General features: G+C 37.3%; 1 long non-coding RNA gene across 2 annotated transcripts in view; it reads left to right on the forward strand.

Moving 5' to 3' along the window:
* Window positions 1-7,996: 7,996 nt before the first annotated feature.
* LOC105371957 (uncharacterized) overlaps window positions 7,997-17,631 on the forward strand; it is a 29,740-nt gene continuing 20,105 nt past the window's right edge. The window contains exons 1-3 of one of the 2 annotated variants that reach the window (XR_935088.3): window positions 7,997-9,687; window positions 12,744-12,824; window positions 14,305-14,462. This is a non-coding gene — a long non-coding RNA (uncharacterized LOC105371957). Of the gene's footprint in view, window positions 9,688-12,743; window positions 12,825-14,304; window positions 14,463-17,631 lie in introns of those variants that run through there. The other variant, XR_935089.3, reaches the window with a different exon arrangement.

Genomic DNA, 17,631 nt, shown 5'->3' on the forward strand with positions numbered 1-17,631 from the left:
GTGATTTAATCATAATTCCCTGTTGGTCTGGCTTGTGTGTCTGTCTAAAATAAATAATTTTATTTGTCTCCTCTATATCTGTAAAATACCAATCTCAGCTTCTTCAGGTTTATCTTAGTGTTATCTAATGAAATCACTACAGAAGGCAAAATTACCGTGATCAACTATACCTTGTGTAGTAAGCATTTTTCACCTCTCCCCAAGGCTAAGAAACATCACATAAACTATTAACATATCAGTGTATCCTTTCCTAGTCTCCAAGAACATTGATGCAGTTCCGTGGCTTCATCTCCCTGTATAACTGGATGAAATCATAACCATGAATTCCAATTCAATCTGACTAGTCTTATCTATTCTTTTGGTTGTTGAAAATACTAAATTTTCTCCAGGTCACAAACTTCAAAATCCATGCTTTCTGAACCAATTGTCAAGATATGACCAGCTTCAAAAAGTATTAGTGTGAACCACTGAAGAGCCTTAGCTGTACTAATTATTAGACGTGCTTGGCTAAAGTAGAATGCTTTTTCTCATTTGAAATATTTGTCCCAAATGTCTCAACTTAATGGTAAGTAATCCAAGAACAAGATGATACACCAACCCTTTCTGTCAGTAAGTTAACCAGTAAGGCATCAATTATTTCTCTTAATGAGGGTCTGATATTTAAAGCTATGGCTATATAATATTTTGTTTTTCAAAGATCCCAGGAAATATAGAGTGTTTATATTAAACCACACACATATACTCATAAAAGGCAAATGCGCATACACAAAAGGTGTAAATGATCACATTTATACATATACATTCACATATATAACTCAGTTATCAGCTAAGCCTTATTTAAATTGAGCCCCCAATTATATAGCTTGTGAATTGTATTCCCCCCAATTGTTACCCCCCAATCATAGCCCCATGAAATGTTAACCTCAGATACGCTGTGTCTGTGTACACTTTCAGCAAACTCCCAGAGCTTACTTTCTCACTGTGATTTCCATTTTCTTTCTCTATCTGATTTCCACGTACGTGTGTGATATCTCAAATCTGCCTGTATCAACTTACACAGGGAACCAAGTCTTCACTTAGTTCTTTCCAAAAAATAAATACACATAAGACATTTCAAGAGTAATTTTAACATTTATTCACACACATCATTGGGAATACCCACCAGAGTAGGGGCCCATTACATACCACATAGCCTCCTGCCATCTCACCAACTCTTTCAAAAGCTCTGATCTCGGCCAGGTGTGGTGGCTCACATCTGTAATCCCAGCACTTTGGGAGGCCGAAGTGGGTGGATCACCTAAGGTCAGGAGTTCAAGACCTGGCCAACATGGCAAAACCCCATATCTTCTAAAAATACAAAAAATTAGCCCGGCATGGTGGCAGGAGCTTGTAGTCCCAGCTAGTCAGGAGGCTGAGGCAGGAGAATTGCTTGAACCTGGGAGGCGGAGGTTGCAGTGAGCTGAGATCACGCCATCGCACTCCAGCCTGGGTGACAAGAACAAAATTCCATCTCAAAAAAAAAAAAAAAAAAAAGAAACAAAACAAAACCTCTGACCTCGTGTACAGACATGCTCTTTCAAAGAACTGAAGTCATCTTCATGACAAGATTCTTTCTGTGAAGAATCCTTATACTACTTGGTAAAAAATATAATATTTCTCATGTTTTTTGCACACAAATATTGGCACAGAGAGAGAAACAGCAGATGATGTTTCACTCACCTTTTAAATGGTAATACTGATAATTATGGAGGTTACAGTGATTTTACCAAAATCACAACTAGTACAAATTGAGCAACCAGGACTGGACTTCAGCATTTGTACTTAGTTCTGATTCTCTGTAGTATATCACACAATCTTTTTAGATATATTATTGAAATTATTTTTGAAAAAAAATAAAATGCAAACTTTAAACGATAAAAGAAAAAAATCAAAATTCATTAGTATCCATTAGTCTTCCTGGGTCTTTCCATGATCAATAATAAGTAAAAGTGTCTCAGAAATAAAAATTGCTTGCTCTGGAAATAATTTTTCATTGGAAGTAAACATGGTAATGTTAGATATCAATTCTGACTATGTATAGCCTTGAACATGTTTATAACCTCTTTTCTCCAAGTGGGAAACAGTAATGTGTGTGCATGGTCATGCGGGCAAAGTCAATGAGCTCAAATATTCACACACAGAAACAAGTCAAGCAATTATTGTAGGTTCAGAAACAGAATTCCAATGCGTCCAATTGTAATGCCCAGAATAAAATTTCTGCCAGTCACTCAATTATTTTATACAATGTACTCAAATATCTGGCTGATATTTGTTCTGTTTTTGTATTGTTTTAACAGAATTTTTTTTTTAGAGCAGTTTTAGGTTCACAGAAAAATTGAGCTGAAAGTATAGCGTTCCCATAGTCTTCTACTCCCCTAGCCACACACACAATTTTCCCCATTATGATAATTCACCACTAGCGTGAGACATTGTTATGATTGATGAACCTACTACATTGACACATCATTATCACCCGAAGTACATAGTTTACATTAAGGTTTACTTTCAGTATTGTACATTCTATGGGTTTTCACAAAGGTATCAGACCGAGTATTTTCACGGCCCTAAAAATCCTCGGTGCTGTGCCTGTTCATCCCTCTCTCCCCTCAAGCCCCGGCAACCACTGATCTTTTTACTGTCTCCATAATCTTGCTTTTTCTAGAATGTCATATATTTAAAATTTTACAGTCTTTTCCAATTTCTTTCACTTATTAATATGCATTTACTTTTCTTCCCTGTCTTCTCATAGCTTGATAGCTTACTTCATTTTAGTGCTGAATAATACACCATGGCCTGGAGGTATCAGGTCTTATATATTCATTCATCTACTGAAGGACATCTTGGTTGTTTCCAAATTTGGGTGATTATGAATAAACATCTGTGTGCAAGTTTTTGTGTGGATATAAGTTTTCAACTCATTTGAGTAAATACCAAGGAGCATGATTGCTGAATCGTATGATAAGATGTTTAGTTTTGTAAGACACTGCCAGACTGTCTTCCAATGCAGCTGTAGCACTTTGCATTCCAGCAGCAATGCATGAGAGTTTCTCTTCTCCACATACTTGCCAGCGTTTAGTGTTGTTGGTATTTTGGATTTTGACCACTCTAGTGGGAGTACAGTGGTATCTCATTGTTGTAATTTCCAATTCTTTAATGACATATGGTGTTTGAACATCTTTGCGTATCTATTTTTGCCACCTATGGATCTTCTTTGGTGAGCTATTTGTTCAGATCTTTTCCCCATTTTTTAATCCAGTTATTCCTTTTTTACCATTGCTGAGTTTTAAGAGTTCTTTGTATATTTCGAATAACAGTCATTATCGGATATGTCTTTTATAAATATTTCTCCGTAGTCTGTGGTTTATCTTCTCATTCTCTTGACGCTGTTTGATATTTGTAAAATAAAATATCTGGATGATTAGCTAAATTTTTAACTTTTTCAAATATGTGAATGTGTTCATATTATAAGTTCAGATTATATCACAGATAAAGCTAAGTTAACTTTAGGTTCTTCTTTCTTGCATATTCAAAAATATAATGCATGTGAGAGTTGAGAAGGAAGAAGAGGCATTGGTTTAAGGCTATTTGTGTCAATCTTTCTTTCATCATTGGCTCCCATGGAGCATTTTTAGACCTTTTCCCCTAATCATAACCCCTCGTACCATTTTAATAATAGATATGCTAGGTATATTTATATATTTCATGCATATACATGTTTCAGACATTAAAAGAATAAGATATTTTTTGCCTTCCCCAATAACACATTTTTGCCACCTTGGGGATTTTATTGTTCCTGTTGAAAGTGCATGTTTTAATGTTTTTAGACAAATATGTTTCATCTGTCATACATGGATATGATACATATGTATGATGTTAGATAAAATTCTAAGATCTATACTGACAAATTTTAAAATATGTTTTACTCAGCAAGTACATTAATCTTAAACTATTATTTTTAAATTTCAGCTACACTGAGAATAAGCAGTCTATTTAATCAGCTCTATTAAGAAAGAAAAAATAAGTTAGCAAGCATATAGTACCAGTATGTGGACCCAAAGTTTTCCCTCTTAATTGATTTTCTATCAAAACCTTAGCTGACTCAAAATAAAAGAAATAAACCAAACCCCACTTGATTTGCCCATGGTAGGAAATTGGATATATTTCTAACACAAAAGAGTTGGCCCCTGATGCAAGGAAAGATGTAAAAACTGGAGAAATGTCAAGAAATGACAGACCCCTGGGCTGTGCTGCCTGTAGAGCAGGGGTCCCTGACCCCTGGGCCGTGGTTAGGAACCAGGCAGTACAGTAAAAGGTGAGTCACAGGCAAGCGAGCAGTACTTTAGCCTGAGCTCCACCTCCTGTCAAATCAGCAGCAGCATTAGGTTCTCATGAGAGTGGGAACCCTATTGTGAAATGCACATGTGAGGGATCTAAGTTGCCTGCTCCTTATGAGAATCTAATGCCTGATGATCTGAGGTGGAACAGTTTCATACCAAAACCATCTTCCCTACACCCAACCCCATGTCCTGTAGGTGGTAAAATTGTCTTCTAAGAAACCAGTCCCTGGTGCCAAAAACATTGAGGACCACTGCTGTAGAGTTTAAGATGCTCCCTCATCTGGCTGAAGACAGCAGCAGAGGGTAGTCCTTGGTTAGCAATTCAGTGTTACACAATCATATTTTGAATTCAAGATTTTTTGATATTCTGTCTGCAGACTTTCTGAATCATTTAGTAGCACCCAATTATGCGTAGTGGCACAGAGATAGAAAAGTTTTTATAACTCCTATGTACATTGACCTCTTCATCACATTTGGAACTAACAGCAAAATTTTCCACAGTATTACAAATTATTAGAGTTTCACTTTCAATTGCCATTTGGTGAAATTCATAGTTGGTCTAGTTGTTGTTTTTGTTTATTTCTTCTTAATTTCTAGAAATAAAACACTACCTTTTAAGAAGAATTTTGACATGTTTACAGATGAATATTATGAACCTGTCTATCCTTATGTCAGATGAATAGGTTATGTCAATTTCTACCTTTGAAGATTCTGTGAGAGATTTTGCAATATCTGTGAGCTTTAATTGACTTACCTGGCATTTTATAGAAAACTTTCTGGAAATGTATTGCTTTTAAATTTTAATGTAATATCATTTGTATAATTTTGAAGACTTTTTTAAAAATTAAAGCTAAAATTTAATTAAAAATTCAACCATATGTGGGCTATCATTACAGATAATCCAACTGATATTTAATCAGGATTATGCACAATTATAGTGACACCTGTGAAGGTAATGACAATTTTGTTGGAACATACTCCTCTCTCTAGACTAGCAGATTTCTGTGCATATGGATTATAAGATGCAATCAAATATCAGAAACATTAAAATGTTACATATACATTTTAGATTTTAAAAACCATGTGATATCTTTGAACATTGAATCAATTCCAATTGTTGTGAGCTGTTTTTTCAGGAATATATCATTGACTTATTCCTAGGCCTCCACTTCTCACCCTTCTTACCTATTATCTTCTCTTATTACTTTCACCTTTTCTTCTTACTCTGTATTTGGTGGCAATGGTAGTGTGGGAGATGTCCAATTGATCCAGTGAGTGTGGTTAGTACCTCCTAATCTTATCGACTTATTAAATAGAGAACAGACATGGGTGGGAAAGATTTTCACAGGATGTATTCAAAATCAATAATACATTTTACACATTATTTCCTCTCACCTAAAGAGAAAAATAAATAAAAGATAAAAATCATCAGCCCCACAGTGATAGTGGGCTAGTGCCACAATGGAAGACAGAGAGGCATACGAGGTTGCAGAGCCAGTCCAAGTTCCCTGATGCCCCATTTTCTAAGAGTTGGGGCAGATTTCATATTTTTTTATTCCATTTAATCTCCTCTCTTGGTGTATCATTTATACTTCTTTCTTTTCTTCTTTTAGCAGTTGTCATATAATTTTTATAACAGAGTAAGTTATATATATATTATATATAATGCATATATATAGCATATTATATATAGTATGTAGACATATTATATACCTTTATGATACAGCATATTATATATGATAAGCTATATATTATATATAATAGTGTGTATATTATATACACAAACATGCATATGTATAGTATATAGTAAAGTATATATACATATATAGTATATAGTATATAGTATATATACACACACACATATAGTAAATGTATGTATATCATTAAATAATTTAAGTCTATCTTCAAAGAACATGCTACAATTTCATGTATAGTAGTTACCTTAAAACAGAGTATTTCCAATTCTTCCCTCCTGTCTCTTGTGACATTGCTATTGTTCACTTACCCATATGCTATAATCAGCCAATACACTGTTACTGTTATCGCTTTTTAAAAACTGTTATTTTTTAGATCAGTTAGAAATAATAAAAATAAAATATTTTACTTACCTTCACTTATTCCTTCTTTGATCTTCTTCTCCTTTTTTTATAGAGCCAAGTTTCCAACCTCTATCATTTATCTCCTGTCTGAAGAAAGTCTTTCATTTCTTTCAGGCAAGAAAAAAATGAATGAATTCGTAATGAATTTGTTTGCTAGAGACACTTTTTATTTCTCCTCTATTTCATTGGACTTATAATTCTAGATTGGCAGTGTGGGTTTCAGGTTTTACTTTTTTTCTTTCAACACTTTGAAGATTTCATTCCAGTCGCTTCTTGCTTGCGTGGTTTCAATAATATGGCTGCCATTATTATTCTTATCCTCTATAGATGAGGTAGTTTTTCTCCTCTGGCTTTCTTCAAGAGTTTCTCCTTATATTTGGTTCTCCACTGTTTGAACATGATATGTCTAGTTGTGGGGTTTGGGGTTTATTTTGTTTAGTTTTGTGGGGTTTTTTTGGGTATTTATCTTGCTTATTTTTTTCAGAGCTTCCAGATTTGTGCAGTGTGTGTCATTAATTTTGTAAAGTTCTTAGTCATTATTAACTTAAATATTTCTTCTGCCCATATTTTCTTTATTTTCCTTCTGGTATTCCAGTTATACATAAGTTACAACATTTTTTGTTTTCCCACCATTCCTAAATGTTATCTCCTGGATCTCTCTCTCTCTCTCTCTCTGCATTTCAGTTTAAGAAGTTCCTATTGACCTATTTTCAAGATTGCTCTTCTTTCCTGAATCAACTGCTGAGCCCTTTAAAGGCATTCTTCATTTCTGTTCCAGTGTTTTGATATCTAACATTTCCTTTTTTTCCCCCAAGATGGAGTCTCACTCTGTCGCCCAAGTTGGAGTGCAATGGCGCGATCTCGGCTCACTATAACCTCTACCTCCTGGGTTCAAGCGATTCTCCTGCTTCAGCCTCCTGAGTAGCTAGGATTACAGGCACCCACCATAACACCCGGCTAATTTTTTGTATTTCTAGTAGAGGCGGGGTTTCACCATGTTGGTCAGGCTGATCTTGAACTTCTGGCCTCCAGTGATCTGCCCGCCTCAGCCTCCCAAAGTGCTGGGGTTACAGGCGTGAGCCACCGCACCCGGCCTAACATTTCCTTTTGATTCTTTCTTACAGTTTCCATCTCTTTGTAAACATTACCTATTTGGTGTAATGTCTGTTTTATCCCCTAGTGTCCTTAATATGTTAATCATAGTTATTTTAAATTCTAATAATTCCAACATTTATGTTTTAGCTAAGTCTGTTTCTGATGATTTTTTTTTCATCTCTTCAGACTGTATTTTGTAATCTTTAGTTGAAAGCTGGACATGTATCTTTAATATGTACTGAGGTTAAACAGACCTTTTGTGTGAGAATGGAGTTTTGTTAATCTGGCCAGGAATTGGGCTGTGTGTGATGTTTGTTATGGCTACAGGCACCAAAGGCTTGAAATTCTCCACTGACCTTTCATTTGCCTCGTTGGCTGTGGGGCTTCCCTTTTTTCTGCTCCTTGCTCCTCTGAGAGAGTCTATGTCTTGCAGCTCTTTCTGCTATAACCCACTGTTGTTATACTGGAGGCGTGTTCAAGTGGTGGTAGGATGCAAAGGAAGCTTTGTACAATCTATAGTCCCAGGGTTTTAGTGGACCTCTGTCTTGGGGTTTGGCCTTCTCGAGTGTTTCTGCTCCTTCCTTTAGAATATTGCTCTTCCCAGCTCACCTCCTGCTCCATTCCTTGACTACAGTATTCTAAATCTATTACCTTGATGCCCTGTCCCTTGTTGATTATTGTTTTCTTTTTCTTTAGGGGAAACGGGAAGGCTGGAACCATGTCCAGCTGGGATAAGGCTTCAGTCTCATCCTGTGATGAAGAAATTTTCCCTGTAGAACAGGCCTTTGTTATGGAGAAAAATTAGGTGAGGTTACACAATGCCTACTTTTCCTTTTCTTATGCCAGAGCCATGAGGGGGTTTTTCTTGGATCCTCAGCCTGAAGAACCTGGTAGGGATCATGGAGGGAACTTGTATGAAAGTACAAGGTCTCTCTGTGATTGTCCTCATTTTCACAGTAGTCCACACTCAGCCTCCAGCAACTCTCCAGATAACTAGCAAGGCAAGGATGAGTAGCTCCTGCCCAAGGGAAGCAGGTTTCAGCTGTATCTCACTGAATGTCCCTGTCCCTCTAGATTTCAAGGTGATAGTTTGGCCCGAAACCTCAGTTCTTTGATGGGTCCAAGAAAAGTCATTGATTATCGGGTTGTTCCATTTTCTCTTGTTGTAAGGACAGGGGTGATGAACTCCAAGCTCTTTAACATGTTGGAGCTGAAACTGGAAGTGGAACAACTGGTTTCATAATGTTTGGCACATTTTATGACTTTGTTTCACTTTTCCTAGAATTGCAGGTTTCCCAGCATCAGTTAACTGTCCTAGCATTTCTTTTCAAATGAACTACAATCTGGAAATAGCGATGCTTCACATATCAACTTAGAAACATATTTTTTTCCAAAAAGTATCAAAGTTGTCAAAAAAAATTAAGCTGTCTCAACCATCCTAAGAACTGACAAGAAAAAGAGAATTTTAATTTTATTTCTTATGGATCAAATATTCTAGAGTAAATGCTTGAAAGAATGGTGTTCAGTTAAGAAAATCAATTCCATTGTAGCATTGTGAATTCTAGGAGGCATTGTCATTCTTTCAACATTCTACAGGAACATGAGGCTTCTACTTGACTGAAATAAGGGTTTGAACTCTGGTTTGGGGTTTTAGTTCTCGTTTCTTTATTTTATCCACCTCATCTCCAACTTTTTCATCCTAGTTCATTCTCTTCTGCAGCTTTGTGTTCCATTTTTATATCTTCTTTCAAGTTATGAAAGATACCAGTCCTTTGAAATGTTCCCTTAAGCCTTGCTTATAGCCTTTTTAGGAGTATGTTCTTATTAAGTTTTCCAGATGCTCTTTCCATTTCCTTTTGTTACACCGTTTTTGTTTTTCATATTCTCTTCATTGCTTTCTTCATTTTTGCTGCTAGTTTCTTTACTGATCTTCAAAGAAGGCAGGATTTGTTCAGACAGAGAAGCCACTTATCGCCACAGAGGATTTTGGATCCTTTTGGCCCTGCCTTCTGTCTGCCTATAGAATGGAAGAACTGTTTCTTCAGATCTCAACTCTGAAAACATGTCTGAGGTCAGACTGCCTAGATCTGAATGCTAGCTGCGATAGCATGTTCTAGGTAAGCTCCTTACTGTGTTTGTGCCTCACTTTCCTCAATTGTGAAATGAAGATAATCGTTAACTCTACATCTAAGATTGCTTACAGGATTAAATGGGGTAAGGCATGTTATACATGTAGAATCATGCCTGGCACATAGTAAGTACTCAAAACACGTTAGCTCTCCTTATAATCCAGAAACAAGATCCAGGGTTGTTAAAGCAGACACCCTGGGCACTGCAGGTGATAAGTTGTGTTGTTTGTACCTTGGGGACCACGCCACACTTGGTATGACTCACTCACCTTGCTATGGATGGAACTAAGGGTCCAGTTCTCTTGTTCTAACAAAGTTTCACCTACTGCTCCTCTGTTGTACTGGGACAGCAGAGTTTCCTTCCATACTACCTGGCTGATTTATAGTCTTCAAATAGAGAGTAACTTATAAAATCAATATTTCACATTTCATCTACCAGTGCTCTTCCTACCTCGGTCTCACATATGAAGATTTTATCACACAGGATATAACTGTCTCCCACTGCCTCTTTTCAACTACGTTTACGATTTTAAGAGTGGACACTTATCTTTCTTTTTTAAACGTGTTCTCAGACTCACTAAAATAATGACTGGGCTAGGTGCCATGTTGCGTACCTCTAGTCCCAGCTACTTGGGAGGCTGGGGCATGGGGATTGCTTGAGCCCAGGAGTTTGAATCCAGTGAGACCTTGTCTCTAAAAAAATATTTTTTTAAGTTGGATTGTTTTTTTCTCGAGTCAGTTTAACTGAGCCCTGTCTGTTTCACCGTAAGTACAGATTTTGGCCATATTCTGCAATTAAGCTATATTTGGACACTTGTTGGGGGTACAGCTATGTGTTTTCAATTTATTGTTATGGTTATTCATTTGGAGATATTTCAGTGGGAAGCTAGAAGGCCTGCATTGCCATATGTCATTTAAAAGCAGAGTTTGAACTTAAATTTTGAAGGAACAGGTTAAAGAAAACATAAAAATTTCAAGTATACTCTCCGTACCTGATTTTAATATCTCTCAATAATGCCAGTATTGAAAATATTTTTCCCCAGAACCTTTACACAATCTGCCTTCAAAACAACTTCTAGACCTGAGTCAATACAGCTTTAAGACCATTTCTATACATTTGTCTTAAGAATCATAGTTTTGTGGGGGTTTTGAGAATTTATTCAGAATTTTTAAGTCTAAGAAGATCTTGTATTTTATTCTTATATTATTTCACAGATGAGAAACAGATGAGGCTAAATAACACTATAAAAATTACACATAACCAGTTAGGGGGCAAAATTAGAATTAAAACCCAGGTCTTCTTGTATTATTTTTACTAGAGCAACTTGCTGAAATCTAATTTTATGTACTAAACATAACTTGTTATTTTCTTTTTATCTTAAATCACTCTATGACTTTCATAAAAGGCAAAATTGGCATTTCTTCTATGTGATTTGGATTCTCATTTCTTCCTGTTCAGTCTTATGTGCTGATTTATGCTGAAAGACCCAATCAGTGCTGAAATGTTACAGTTTACAAAGGACAAGCTAAGCTAACTGTGGAAACCTTCTTGTTCTGTTGATATCCCATCTGAATCACCCCACAGAAGATTCTAGCTTTCCAGCTATCAAGTGTTGACCTTACGCCCCTTGTCTTCCTCTAACATGAGGCTCTGAAGGCTAGTACCAGTCTCCACAGGACTGGTAGAGAAGGAAATTTTTGCCCATTACGTTCTATTTCCCCCTGCATTTTCATGTAAATTACCCCTGCATGCAGAAGTAGTTCCCAAAAGACACTCACCTGTGACTATCCGTATTCTTATAATGGATCCTAAGTTATCATCCACTACTACAATGAGCTTCCAGGATGGAGAAAAGAGTACAAATATATAATAACAAGTTAGAAAAAGAATTCTACTGGTCTTGCAGGAGAAAGGTTTAAAGCTCACAAGTGCAAAAGAAAGAATATACAAAAGTGAAATACGTCCTCCCACTAGCTAGTTGAAATGCAAGGGCACATGAAACTCAGATCTATAAGAAGGAAAAGCAAAGTGCTTTTTTTCTATTCTTTTATTGTGACAGCTTCTGCACCATGAATGCTGGTCTATTTAGTACCAGCTGATTCTCTCTCATGCAAACTTCCTCCTCATGTGTAATTTTTGCATAAAAGGTTTTGCTTTTAAATACCACCTCCTCCAATTTCCTACTAAGAAATGTTTTCATGTGTTTAGAGTAAAGTAATCACGATGGTTAACTTGCAAATGAATTAAAACTACAAATGTCAGGAGTTTCTGAGAGCTGACATTAACATAATATTCTTGAGGGATTGTGCTGCTCCAGCTAATTGGACTGTTCTGATAGAAGACAAAATGGAATAAAAATAATGTGTCTCATGAAGCATGTTAGATTCAACCTTAGAGAGAAGCTATCGGAATGATTTGCTGGGGTCACAGTCACCTGGTAAGTGAAACTAAATGGATCAACACCATTCATGTATATTGGGTGAGGAACTAGAAAGGAAGGAATAAGCCCTTCATATTCAGAGACCATTCAAATCAGGAAAAATCTATGCTGATAAAAATACAGTTCCTTTACTTGGATGTGGTAAATCAAATGAATAATTTGAAATCAAAGACAAGAGATGCCATGTGTCTAACTGCTTACAAAACTACCATTCCCAGTAACTGAAGAAGTTTTTCATTTGCACCTTCTCCTTTTGTTCTTTGACAATACCTCTGTCATTTACATATATGGAAACCAAATAGCCCAGCTTATGCAAAGCTCCATTCACTTACCCAAAATCAGGAGGCCACTTGAGGCTGTTGTCCACATGGAGCTTTTGGTCTAATGATATGGTTCATCACAAACTACCACAAATTTAGCCACTTAAAACAACACCCATTTATTAGCTCTCAATTCTGCAGGCAGAAGTTTGGGTGGGCTTGGTTGGGTTCTATACTCAAGATATCACAGCACCAAAATCAAGGTGTTAGATGAGTTCTTTCTTGAAGACTTTAGAATTTAGTTCTTTGCAGTTGTAAGACTAAGGTCTCTGTCTACTTGCAGGCTGTTGGTTGGGAGTTATTCACAGCTCCTAGGCCCTCTAAGTCTTTGTATGTGGACCCATCTTTCTTCAAGCCAACAACAGTGAGTGAAATCCTTGTCATGCTTCGAATCCTTCTGATTTCCCTTCTGCCTTCCTCCTTGCCACCAGCCAGAGAAAGCCCTCTGCTTTTAAAGACTCCTGTGATTAATAGGCCTGCTCAGAAAACTTCTTTATCATAAGGTCTACCATCCCATATAATATAACAGAATCAGAGGAGTGATTGATTATCATATTTACAGGTTCCAGGGATGACTGCATAGAATATTCTACATTATACAAGAACATATGTATCCAACATATTGTACAATATTGGAATATCATCACTATTGGATAGCAGGTTACTGCATTCAGTAAGCGTTGGACAGAGGTGAAAACCAAGTTAGGGGACGTGAAGAGTCAGAGCCAGAATATTCAGGAACCAAAGCAGGTGGAATCTTGCACCAAGAAACAGAATCCAAAAAAAGTCACAAGAGATGTTTCTGGTACTTCACGAGTGGGCAAGTTGAAGAGAAACTACCAGAGACATTTTGAGAGGTGTGATCCAGGAAGGAGACCAAAATCCAAAGCTATGGAATACTGCCATGTCCAGGAAGAGGCCTTTCTTCTCTCTGCCTGGCTCTGTTCTCTCCAGATGTACCCATAGCTTACACTTGATACAACAAGGAGTATAGAGGTCTGGTTATCCCCTGCTTAGACAAATATTTTTTAAAAATAAATTTATCTTTTATTCTGCAAATCAATTCACCATGAAATGGTTCCTGAAAATATTTTATCTAAATGTGAAGACAATGTCTTCACTCTAGAGAGGACTGTCATTGGGTGCAGTGTACGTGTAATCATTGCGCACACACCATCTAGACCCTCCTCTCCCTTCTCAGCAAACACCAGACCATTGGTTTAAGAACCCATCCCCTCCTATGTGTACAGCAGCTGCATGGATTGGGAGGGTACGCACGCTATTGCTTTCTTTGGGTATAAATGGATCCTCCTCCTGGTCACAGTGATAGGACCAGAGACAGAAATTTACGCAGGCCTAGGTTCATTAGTACAATACATTATCCTAGGTTAGTCAGAGAGAAATATAGGCACTTTGTTCTATGCTTGGAGGCAGAAAAGACAATTCTCTTGCTTTTTACAGATTAGTATGAATACAGTAAGGACATTTTACTACCAAGAAAGAAGCTTGGAAAAAATCACATCAAAAGTGAAAATAGTATTTTTTTATTTGCAGAGCAAAACTGCTATAAAATTAAGTTTGAGAAAGAAATAAGGAAGAAAGAAAAATTTCCATTTCTTAGCTTACTGCAGGAGAAGTAATTTCCATTTCCATTTTCTCGATTTGTCCTCACTACTTTTGATTTGTTAGCAACAGAAGAAGCTTCCATATTTTTTAACCTTCTCTGTAAGCTTTACGCCACTGCCCAGTATCTATGTAAGTTAGTATTTTGGTGCAGGTATTAAATTGCTTGCAACCCATAAGAACACCTACATAATCTTTAAATTGTCCTATCATTGTGAAAGCTTGTTTCTGCTAGGTGCTCAGTTCAGGTATCACATTTGTCAAATGGTATAATCATCTCTTCGCCTGAAGACAAGAGCCTGGGGAACTTCTCAAATGCCAGCCAGCACTTAGCCAGCAAAACTCCTTGAAGGTAAAGATGGCCAAAAGGCACACACCATGAAGGACAGGTACGCAATCACTCATTTTTAAAATTAGCTGAAAAACCCAAGTATTTTGGCTCATCAGCACGAAGAGACAGTAGGATATATAGCCTAAATTGACAATTCCCTCAATATGAAGAAAGCAGGCAGTCTCAGATTGAAACGTGTAAGCCAGATAGTCATACTTGTTAAACCTGGGTAAGTAGTTAATCTCCTCAGGCCTCTGGTTTTCCATCTGTAAAATTTGGATAATAGTAACTAGCAAATAGAGTAGTTTTAAAGATGAAAATAAATACTGTCATGTGTTTCTAAAATAAAGAAAATGTTTCTGAACATAAGGACTATATTTAAGAACATAGTATTGTATACTGGAAATTTGCTGAGAGTAGATTTTAAGTGCTCTTACCAGACATACACACACATACATAAAAGGTAACTGTGGGATGGTACATATGTTAATCTGGTTGACTGTAGCTATCATTTCACTATGTATTTGTAAAACAAAACATCATGTTGTTCACCATAAATATATGCAACTTTTTTAAAAAGTTCATTTGAAACTTCAGTACAGGCTTATGCTTAAAACATTTCAGATGAAACTAGAAAGTTTATCCTTAGTACAATTGCTCTAGGTTGATTATTCATTCTTTATTCTTAGGATTTTGGGGGGCAGAAAGGATTCATCTTTTGCATCTTTCAGATATTTTGTGAAAGGGAAATTCAGAAAGAGATGTTAAATCCCAAATGTTAACCTTAGCTCTGAGCAATGACTTCCTCTATCCGGACCTCAGCTCTCTTGCTGAGGCCTGGTAGGAACTGAATGGCATCTCTGTTGTGGACAACCTGATCCCCTAGGCCTATGAACGTTTCAGGCCTCTGTTCCTGGTAATCAGGCTCTGTCTGTGTCTGTTGGAGAACCACTTGGGATGCCCTACAGTTAAACCTAGGATCCTCTCAACACAGGCTGACTCACTAGCTTCTCCTTCTTTCCACAGATTCCTAGGACTCAGTCAACCATTCTTTCCTCTTTGGTGTTTACAGTACTCATTCTACTCCTTGGGGCTTGTGAAAGACATAATAGTGCTGATAGCGTTCACCATAGAGTCCTTTCTCTCCTTCATCCCCCAGCCCCTGGGTTAGGTAGGATCATGTAATGAGTTCTGGATAGTGGCCTGGCAGAGGTGATGATGTGTGTCCCCTCCTGGCCAAAGCATTAAACTCATGGTGCATGATTCCTTCATTCTTGCTCCTCTACTGTGGCTACCAGCTGCATTCTAGATGGTGCAGCCTCCATCAGCCTGGGTTCCCAAGGGACTATACAGAGCAGAGACCCCAACAAACCCACCATGGACATATAGTGTGAAAAATAGATCTTTGTGTTGTAAACAAGTGGCATATTGGAATTACTTCAGCTATCATGATTAATTCTGGATCTTCACTGAAATTTGAGAAACTATTGCTCAAGACTCCCCCTGCTTCACTGTCCCCAAAAGCAAGTACAATGGCCATTTTCATTCTAGGGATTGTAATATGCATCACTGTGTAAGCAATGATTAAATGTTAAGTTGGATATTTTTTAAAGTTGAATAAAGTATAGAGACAGAAAAGTATTAGATGAGTATAGGAAACCTAAAATGATAGATATGATTTGTGAGGAGCAGAATAGATGTTTCTTTCTGGTATTCAGTGAAAAGGACCACAAAAAAGGGAAGGAAATTGAAAGGAACAGATAAGGGCTGGAGAAGATAACTGAAGTAGAACCAGGTTGTGAGTGGCCTTGAGTGTCAGGAGAATGAGTTGGCCTTGGTAACAGAAATATGTGCATGGATTATGAAGACCTTTAATATTAAGAGTGATGGCTTTCTTTATATTTCTTATTCTTGAAGTTTGTATAACTTCTATTTGTAGGTTAATATCTTTTATCAATTTTGGAAAGTTCTCATCCATTTTCTCCTCATATTACGTCTGCACCATTTTCCCCTCTCCTGTTTTCTCAGACTATATAATCTTGTGTGAGATCTTTCCACTGTGTCCCACAGGACTCTTTACATGTTTTCTGCATTTTTGATAGTTTTTTGTCCTCTGTCTAACCTACCTTCACTAATACTGTCTTCTGTGTCAAAATCTGCCACTAAATCCATCTGAGTTCTTCAGTTACGGTGTTATTTCTTTCTTTCTTTCTTTCTTTCTTTTCTTTTTTTTTTTTTGAGATGGAGTCTTGCTCTTGATGCCCAGGCTGGAGTACAGTGCTTCAATCTCAGCTCACTGCACCTCCACCTCCCGGGTTCAAGTGATTCTCCTGCCTCAGCCTCCCAAGTACCTGGGATTACAGGCACGCACCACCATGCCCAGCTAATTTTTGTATGTTTATTAAAGACGGGGTTTCACCACGTTGGCCAGGCTGGTCTCTGTCTCCTGACCTCAGGTGATCTGCCCGCCTCGGCCTCCCAAAGTGCTGGGATTACAGGTGTGAGCCACCGTGCCTGGCTGGTGTTATTTATTTCTATAATTTCAAATTGATTCTCTTTTTAATAAATACTAATTGTCTGGTGCATTCTTCATCTTTACCCCTCCACATGTTTCTCCATATATTAATGATAAAGACTTTAAAGTCCCTGTCCAATATCTGGATCACCTGTGTATGTTTCTATTATCTGTTGTTGTTTTTTGTCATGCGATCTTATCACTTTATATACCTGATAATTTTAAAATTAAATGCAGAATATGATGTATGAAAAATTATAGAAGTTTAGGACCATATTATCTTCTTCTATACAAGATTTGGCTTTTCCTTTGGTAGGTAATAGTATGGGGCTGTTCACCTTAATCCTACTGGGGGCTTAGCTGTATTGAGGTATTGTCACTACCTTGAGTTCATTTCCTGCTAATAGGAGGTGGCCCTGCAGTACCTCCCACTGAGAGCCTGGGGCATTCACTAGAATCCCTCCCCGTGGAATGTCCTGAACTCTAACCCTTGTCTCAGCATCATGACTGCTGTCAACTATTCCCTGCATTTCCAGGGCTTTTTGTTTATCTTCTTGCTCTACTTAGCCTCCTACCCCACGCAGCTCTAGAATCACACAGATGTCTCGAGGGGAAAAAGCAGTGGTATTGGTGTCAGTTCTTTACCCATCTCTTCTCATTGAGGTCCTGGAATCTCAAGTCTCTAAATGTTATTTTTTCCTG

The sequence above is a fragment of the Homo sapiens genome, chromosome 18, assembly GCF_000001405.40.
Source record: "Homo sapiens chromosome 18, GRCh38.p14 Primary Assembly".
Lineage (NCBI taxonomy): Eukaryota > Metazoa > Chordata > Mammalia > Primates > Hominidae > Homo > Homo sapiens.